Below are 10,038 nucleotides of genomic sequence, written 5' to 3' on the forward strand. Positions count from 1 at the left end.
GGGACAATCCATGTGGCAAGACCTATGGGAGGAAGGATGACCTCCTCTGAACAGGTATGGGAACAAACAGCAATTTGTTCTTGCTTGCCCTAATGCCATAAAGGTAGGAGAACAAAAAATCTGGCTTCAGCCATGGACCTTCCAAGCCTCCTACCCCCCATTGCAGGTGGTTAGCCATTGTAACTCCCTGGGGGGAGGACCTGCAGTATAATTTACATGTCACTCCTTGGGTATTAAATGTATGCCCTCCACGATTAACCATTAGTAGAGGAATGGCCAGAAAAAGAACCCTCTTCCAGGGAACATATGTATTGTCTGTGTGTGTCCTGGCACATACATCCACATTCTATGAAGAACTGGACATGGCTAGAGACTTGAAGTCCCTTGGCTAATGCCTGGAATGCAACATGCCAAGGGTTGAATAGAGAATGCCACAGAACTAATAGCATACCTGCCCCCTGGCTGACCCATAGAATTTACGATGGGTAGGTCTGGCTGATAGAAACACACCTGGTGCTCCCACCACAGGTACCACGATGTATAGAGCAACATTAGGGTAATGTCACCATGGGGTGGTTGCCCACCATAGCCTGAAGTTGTTGCTTTCTGTATGGCTGTTATGGCCTATGGTTTCAGTGTTCTACCCTGTGGGCGCATCTCCCAACTAAAAGAACTCCCTCAGCCTAAGGGGTGGAGTGTAAGGAAAATGAATGTGCTTCAGTCAAGAATAGGTTGAAATAAACATTCAGTACAGCATGACACAGCAGGTTTGGAGTGCAGGTGCACAATCCCATGCATTATGTGACCTGTTTGTGTGAACTCATACCTGGCTTTGAGTCACTATTGTCTGTAAGTTACATAAACGTATCACCGATACTGTGAGAGGGCATGTGCCTAATGGAGCTGGCCACCTTGCAGGCAGATGGGGAGAGCCAGGAAATGGCGAGCACATCAGGGAACACAGCTGCAGGTGTGGGGATGAACAGAAACCATGGTGCTGTGCTGAGAGGGCCTGTGGCTGGAGCGGGCAGCCAAGACAAAGCCTTGCAACTGGAGAGAGAAAAAAGCCATGTTGCAACTGCCTATGATTTCTTGGGTGTTTTTCCAGCTACCCGCCACCTGCCCAACAACTTCCCATGGACCTCAGTGTGGGCTAGAACCTGACCAAGGGTACATATGACAAAGTAGGTACTCAATGAATATTTGTTGAGTGGATTGAAATATTAATGGAGTTAGTAGTTTAAAAGTCCTGTTCAGGAAAACTTCTTTCTTTTTCTACCTTCTACCTGATCCTTTTATGGAGTTTTCAGGCTTAGATGCATGCAGTGGAGATAGGATGGAAGAAGCTGGAATTCTTCTTTTGTTTATATTTTTGCCTCCTCAGATTCTCACTAGTCCAGTACCTCTCATACCTCTTTGTGTATCAGAATTCACAGAACTTTACCCACACTTTCAATTTTAACTTATCAGGCTTAGGTATTTTATAAAGTGCCTCAGGGCCTTGGTTTTAATAGGTATTCAGCAAAAAAAAAAAAAAAAAAAAAAAAAAAAAATCATGTCCATTACCAAGATCCTGAGTCAGGCTGAGGGGCCCTGCATTAGGGAATGTGAACACTTTTGCAAATCCAGAGCAACTGGAATCTAGAGTTCATTCCCTTAGGAGATGAAGAAGTCACAACTGGCTGGATCTATCAGTCCTGGATCCCTCTCTGAGGGAACTTACAATTGTGGATTTCTGACATCCATATTCTAGGTGCTGGCTGTGGACTCCTCTCTCTGCCTCAGGCCATAAGTCATCCTCTTCACACAGACTCTCTCTCCACCAGCACCACCTCTCTCACATCAGCAGGCATCAAAATCACCTGGAGTGCTTGCGAATCACAAGCTTCTGATTCAATCATCTGGGTTAGGGCCCAATAATTTGCATGAATAACAAGGTCCCAGTGGATGCTGCTGCTGCTGGTTCACAGACCACACTTTGAGAACCATTACTCTAAGTAATTTTCTAGCTATGTGTAAGTCTAACATGAATCTACTTCCTGTCACAGGTACATTTTGCCAAAATAAATCTTACAGGTTTTATACTGCAGTTGGTTTACAATACAGCCATTTTTCTCTGTTATCAACTAAAAATTCCAGGAAGTAAGTATTTTGCTTGAAGATACTTTCATCTGATGAAAGGGAAAGGTGCCTTCTTTTCTCCCTGTGGCAGTAGGGCTTTAGGAACAGAGAACACATGGAAAAGTTTTCCCAAACAAATCCTCACTCTACTGTCTACTGTCTTTACTAGGTGATCACTGACGGGGTAAAACTAGCTTTCCAATCTCTAGCTCCTTTGATATCCCAGCCAAAACAGAAAGAGAAAGTATCTCTATGAAGGCTTCTTTACACTTATCATGAGTCATAACTTTGAAAGAAACATAATAAAATAGTTTTGGCCTTTTAAAATGTCTGAATTGAATATAGACTACACCCTTGAAAATATTAAACATATTTCCTATAGTGGTCTACAAATTTTTCTTTCTGAGTTGATATAACTTATCTTTTTGTAGCAGAGTAATATCAAGGATATAAAATATTTTGTTATTACACAACATAGCATCTCTTATTTGTATTAGAAATATTAAAGAAAATTGTAATTGTAGCGACAGTTTATTTTAGACATCTTCCCATATATGCAAATTTTAAAGAGTTTGGTAGGCTCTGAGATAGATCTATCCCTTTGAGGATTTCAAGTTTTTGCATCAGAAATCTAGCGCGGTAACTCTCAAGTCCAGAGCTAAACAACTACTCTAAGATTATGTAAAAAACAAAACCAACAAACAAAAAACCACACTTACATACAAACAGGTACAGAAGACCTAAAAGTCTATTTCTTTCATAGGTGTAGCAAATTAATATGAAATTTCTGTACGCATTAGCTTTTCTTTTTGTTTCTACAAAACTTTTTCATTACTCTAAAATGAGCTACTGGATTTTATTTCCAGCCCATTTTTCTTGTGCTTTTTCAAAATTTCAAATTTCATATATCATTATATTTCAAAATTATACCTTCCTTTTTAGGCATAAAGAAGTAGAAGCTTTCAGACGGGAGCACTCATGTGCTTATTGTTTTTCATGCTTAGATTATTCTTAGTAAATAAAACTATTTTCAATCATCTTTCACTTATCTTTAAATTCAGAGGTTGACATTACAAATTATAAGCTTAAATATTTTTTCTATTCATTGCTTCTGCAATTTCATATTTCATATTCATGATAAAGACACAGTAAGACAGGACTGACCAAGGAAGAAAATAACTCAACAGATTTACTAGGAGAAATTGCATTTTCATAACTTTGAATGTCTAAGATATTAATAAAAATTAATCTGTTATTCAAGAATAATTAATGTCTGACAAAATTGGAGGAAAGTGACGGTCTCTAGGCTTCGAGGGGATTGACTGGAAAGGGACATGAAGGAAGTTTCTGGGATAATAGAAATGTTTTGTATCTTGGTAGAGATGTATGTAGTTTGCCTTATGCTTTTGAAAACTCCCATGGAACTGTATAACATCTCTAGAGTTTACTGTAAGTATTCATACTTCAGCAAAATAAAAAAATATATAAATACAGAAATAATTCTGTAAAAATCTATTACCAACATTTCTGTATCACTTTATATTTTTATATACAGTGAAGTTAAGTAAATCAACTTTTCAACAAACACCTTTTTAAGGAGAAATTGATAATGATTGAAGAAATGTTTATATTAATAAAAGTTTTAAATAATCTCACTCTCTACTAGCATTGTAATTTGAAGAATATTTTAACTAATTTTTTCTAAGGATAATTGCTGACTTTACTTGTCACTAAAACGTATATGCCTGAGAGACTGCTTATTCTTTAAGATATAAAAAGAAGTCTTTATTTAACTTTCTTAGAATCTGTTTCATTTTGACAGTCTCTAGGAAACCAAGAGATCAACACAGGAAATTATTCTAAAGAAAATTTAGAAGAAGAAAAATGTTTTTATTTATCTTGATTTCTCTGTTGGTAAGAGAACCAGATCTCTTAATGTAATTACACTAAGAAATGAATATGCGAGACAGAAATACGTGGGAATTATTTCTTCCTAGCATGTCTTGATATTCAACCTAACTACTTGGAATCAAATTCTACATATATACCCAAAAGGAGTAACATCTATATGGATTTGAGATGCATAGAGACTGCTAAGTGTTATTGTAAAAGCATTTCTAAAGTTTGATTGAGGTATAATTTACATACAACAAACTACACATATTAAAAATGCACAACATGATGGGTTGTGACCTTTGTACACATCCTTGAAACCACGACTAAAGTCAAGACTGTAAGCAAATTCTCATCACTCCAAAATGTTTCTCTTAGTCCTCTTAATTCTTTCTTTCCACTTTTTTCCTACCTCTCCTCCTCAGGCAAACACAGATGGAGCTTCTGTTACTATAGAATAGTTTGGATTTTTGTGAGTTTTTGTATAAATGAAATCATACAATATATATTTTTTGGTATGGCTTCTTTCATTTACTATAATTGTTTATAGATGCTGTTTCATGTATCAATAGTTTATCCCTTGGCGTCAAGTAGTATCCAGTCATGCGTATATACCTCTATCTGTTTATCCACTCAACTATTCATAGGCATCTAAGTTGTTTCTTCTAAGTTACGACCATTAAAAATATAGCCAATTTGAATATTCATGGACACATTTTGTTATGGGCCTATGCTTTACTTTCTTCTGGGTAAATACTTAGGAGTGAAATAGCTGGATCAACTGAGAGGTACATATTTAACTTTTTAGGCTATCACAAACTGTTTTCTGAAGTTTTCATACATTTTACAGTCCCACTAGTAGTGTATAAGTTGTCCAGCTACCCCCAGATTTTCACTCACACTTCATATGGTAAGTCTGCTTTTAATTCAAGCCATTCTAAAAGGTGTGAAGTATCTCATTATGGTTTTTATTGCGTTAATAACTAATGATTGATGACCTTTTGCTGTGTTTATTTGCCATCTATTTATCTTCTTTGATGAAGTAATTATTCAAATTTTTTTATCATTTTGTAGTTTTGTATTTGACCATGAATTTCCTTAATAATAAGTTTTGTTTGTTTCTTTGTTTTAGATATGAAGTCTCATGATGTTTCCCAGGCTAGCCTTGAACTCCTGAGCTCAAGTGATCCTCCCAACTTAGCCTCTTGATTAGCTGGGATTACTGCATCCTACTCCTACTGAGTATTTTAAATAAACTTTTAATTTTAGGATAGATTTATATTTGCAGAAAAATTGCAGTCATATCCCAGCACATTAGATATACCTGGCACACAGATTTTCCTATTGTTAACATTACTATGGTGTATTAGTCACAACTGGTGTATCTATATTCATTCACAATTATCAGCTAAAGTACCTACTTTATTGTGATTTCCTGGGTTTTTAATACAATGTCTTTTTATCTAAGATACCACATTACATGTAGTTATCGTGTCTCTTTAGGCTACTCTTTGGCTGTGACAGTTTTCTAGATTTTACTTACTTTACTTGATGATCTTGACAGTTTTGAGTAGTACTAGGCAGACATTTTGTATGATGTCTCTCGATGTGGATTTTACTCAACTTTTTCTCATGATTAGACTTGTGCAGTAGTTTGAGGAGGAAGACCACAGAGCTGAAAGGCCATTCTCATCACATCCTATCAAGGGTACATACTATCAACACATCACTGATGGTGTTAACTCTGACCTGGCTGAGGTCGGGCGTGTCAGGTTTCCTTTGTTTGCCCTGGAAACAAAGGAGGAAAAGGATGAAGTCATGCTTTTCCTCCAAATTTCCATACTATATTCATTAGACAATAGGCATGTAAGGTGTGGGAAGCTATGCTCTGCCTCCTTGGTGATGGAGTATATAAATACATTTTTTGGAACTCTCTACTTGAGCTTTGTCTATTTTACCCTAATTATTTACTTATTCAACCACTTAATTTGTAACAGTATACATCCATTTATATTTATTTTATAGTTTTCATTATTCTTCAATTTAAATTTATTTAATTATTAATTGTTCATAGTATTCTAGATTTGCCTACAAAGACTCTTTCTGTTAGCTACTGTACCTCCTGGATATCCCTCCATTTTTTTTGTTTGGCACTTTCTTACCTTTTGGCACTGTAAGATGGTCCAGGATCATCTTATGTATTTTGAGTTTCAGATATCCAAGATGCTCTGGCTGCTTTTATCAGAGAATAATATTAAAACCAAGATCTGCACTTTGGGAGGCCGAGGTGGGTGGATCACCTGAGATCAGGAGCTGGAGACCAGCCTGGCCAACATGGTGAAACCCCATCTCTACTAAAAATACAAAAATTAGCCAAGCGTGGTGGCACATGCCTGTAATCCCAGCTACTCAGGAGGCTGAGGCAGGAGAATTCCTTGAACCTGGCTTGGGGAGGTTGCAGTGAGCCGAGACCGCACCATTGCACTCCAGCTGGGCGATGGAGCAAGACTCCGTCTTAAAAAAAAAAACAAGAGCTGGGCACTAATTGTGCTGATTACTACTGTGGTGTTGTTGCTTCTAGGCTCTCTCAGCAGACAGAACAATCAATTATATGTGTCTATACTAACTTGTGTTACACACCTATCTAATCACTTTTTTATCATCTGTGTCTATGTTTACTACACATGAGGTCATGTAAATTCCCACAAGTAATGTGAGAGAGTTCTTATTTCCCCACATTTTTGCCAACACTTGTCGGTAACCAACTTTTTTATTATAACTCTTTTAGTGGCTGTGAATTGGCATTTCATAATGACTTCGTTTTGCATTTATCTAATTGTTAATGATGTTGAACATATCTTCATAAACTTATTGTACATCTTGGGAAAATGTGTATTCAAATATTTCATGTATCTTTAATTGGGTAGTCTATTTATTACTGAGATATACAATTTCTTTAAATATTATATATACTGGACTCACATAAAATTTGCAAATGTTTTCTGCATTGTATGAATTGTCTTTTGACTTCATTGATACTGCTCTTTGAAGGGCAATAGTCATTAGTTTTTACGAAGCCCAGTTGATCTTTTTTTTTTTTTTAGTTGCTTGTGCTTTTAGGGTCAGGCCTAAGAAACAATTACCTAATCCAATGTCATAAAGATTTACACCTATATTTTCCTTAAAGGGTTTTATAGTTTTAGATCTTATATTTATGTCTTTATCTATTTGAGTCGGTTTTTGTACATAGTATTAGATAGGAGTCCAACATTGTTACTTTTCTCATGTGGGTTTCCACTTGTCCCAGAATCATTTGCTGGAAAAAAAAATATTCTTCTCCAGTGAATTGTCTAGGTACGCTTGTCAAAAATAAATTGACTATAAATATAAGTATTTATTTCTGGTTTCTCAATTCTATTGTCTATGTATATCTAATTCTAGTACAATACAAAATTGATTACTGAAGATTTGTAGTAAGTTTTGAAGCTAAGAAATGTAGTAAGATTTAAAATTAGGAAAAGTGTCCTCAGACTTGGTTCTTTCTTATTATTGTTTTGGCTGTTATGATTTCTTGCATTTTCATATAAATTTAAGGATCAGCTTGTCAATTTTTGCAAAAATACAAAAAAAGGTCAGTTAAAGTTTTGATAGATTTGTTGGTGAATACATAGACTAACGTGGGGAATATTGTCATCTTAGCTATGTTAAATCTTCTAAATCATAAACACAGAATATCTTTGATATAGATAATTGTTCTTTAATATCAGCTCATATATTTAACATACGATAAAAAATTTTTGTACTACTAGTGTAATGTGTTTACATGGTAATAGTATAGCGTTATCTTCTGGTGACATTGAAAAACTGTAAACTTGCCTATAAGATGATAAAATTAATAATAGGGTTATTAATTGTTGTAATTTAAAAAAGTTAAAATAAATAACACAGCTGAAAATGTATAAAGACATTTCATAGGAAAAATGATAAACTGGTATATATATGTATATATATACACACACACACATCAGAATATACTTCTGATTTTGAAAAGTTAAAATAAATAACATAGCTGAAAATTTATAAAGAAAGATATTTCATAGGAAAAAGGATAAATTGGTATATACACACACACACACACACACATCAGAATATACTTCTATCTGTATATGTTTTCAGACTTCAATATTTATTTATTTATTCTTAGATAGGGTCTTGCTATGTTTCCTAGGCTGGAGTACAGTAGCACGATCATAGCTCACTGCAGCCTTGAACTCCTAGGCTCAAGCAGTTTTCCTGCTTCTGCTTCCTGAGTAGGTAGGGCTACAGGCTCATGGCAACATGCCTGGCTACATTTATTTTTTGTAGAATTGGAGTCTTGCTATGGTACCCAGGCTGGTCCCAAACTTTTGGCCTCAAATGACCCTTCCACCTCAGTCTCCCAAATTGCTAAGATCAGACTCCCATATTAAAGAAATAGCTCCGGAAAAAGCAACAAGTAAGTTATAACAATTTCACAAATTACAATTTAACTAATCTTTTTCTGGAATCAGAGTATTTTACAAGGGTTCAATAGAGACCATGCAGAGAGTTTGTATTTCTACAATCTGTTTTTCCTCTATGTTCAATTGTAATCATTTAAACACTCAGCCAAGAGCTTCCCAAGAATGAAAGGGCAGCTGAAATGTCCTGAGAACAATCATATCTATATTACATAAGCCACAATAGGACATAGGCATGAACATGGCTCTAATGTCCTATAACTTCCACCTTGTTAAAGTTATCTGGCAAAATAAAGAAACACCAGCATCAGTTCATAAAAAAGAATGTACAATGTTCATAAAGAAGAATTGTGCAAGCTAACAATGTTAATTTGTAAATAAGCCTGCATTCTTAGTGACAGTGTCATAGCAAAAGGAGTGTTACTTTAGCAAAAGTAACAAAAAACTAGATTTGAATCTCCGTTAGCCTATATATTCATGGTGAAACAAAGGTGAGTTTTATTGTAGCACAGGCTTTTAATATACTGGTCATGGCTGCTAAATTAACTGTGGTGATGTCTAAAGTTTTCAAGTCTCGTGACAGATTTTGTTTCTCATCTACTCTGAAGCTGACAGCTGCCATTACGGCTGCCTCTGCAAGTCTTACTGACATTCTGGGTGTCAAGACTGACGAGCATTACTTGCTATGATTTAAAGGGAAAAGAAATGCTTGTCCTTTATAAATAAGTATTAGATATTGGAAATATGTTTATTAGTGAATAGAAAAATATTGGAATGGTTAAAAAGTTTAATTAATAATTTATATCTACATACAGTAGTGCAAAATTTGGATTAAATAGCATATGGATTAAGTTTTAGGAAGCAAAATCAGAAATAAAATGAGAAGAAAAAACAAGAAGTAGTTTATCTCAGGAGCTCAGAGCTTTTAGTGTGTGTAACTAATTTATGGCTTTCAAAATTGCAAGATGTTTAAACATGTTTAATAACATCCAGACTAAGACAAATAGCAAAAATTGTCAATATAAATTTTTCCAAGCCCATAAATGTTAAGAGTTGAAAAGTACCTTAATGTAATTTACTCCATCCCTCAACTTTACAGAGGATGAAGCTGAGGACTACAAAAGTAAAGTGATTACCCAATACAAGAGAACTAATAAGAAAGAGTTCTCCTGATTCCCATGACTGCCAATATTGACAAAAGATATTTCTTATCCCTCAATATGCTATGATTAATGAATGTTATATTAAGTATAGTATTCTCTTTAGCCTTTGTTCTGGACCAAATGCTTGTGTCTCCCTAAAGTTCATGTGTTGATGTCCTAACTCCCAATAGGATGGTAGCTGGAAGTGGGGTCTTTGGAAGGTAATTAGGTTTAGATGAGGTCATAAGGGTGGGACAGCACGATGGGATTAATGCCCTGATAATAAGAGGAAGAGAGACCAATGTTCTCCCTCTCTCTGTGGTATGAGGACACAGTGAGAAGGTGGCCTTTCTTCAAGCCAGTAAGAGTATCTTTACCTCACC

General features: G+C 35.5%; 1 annotated feature.

The window, feature by feature from the left end:
- Positions 705-905: a silencer, noted in NCBI's record as "peak3178 fragment used in MPRA reporter construct". NCBI's record gives its function as "represses an SCP1 promoter by STARR-seq MPRAs in K562 erythroleukemia cells {active_cell/tissue: K562}" and the evidence as "EXISTENCE:reporter gene assay evidence [ECO:0000049][PMID:32103011]".

Source organism: Homo sapiens, chromosome 18, assembly GCF_000001405.40.
Source record: "Homo sapiens chromosome 18, GRCh38.p14 Primary Assembly".
Lineage (NCBI taxonomy): Eukaryota > Metazoa > Chordata > Mammalia > Primates > Hominidae > Homo > Homo sapiens.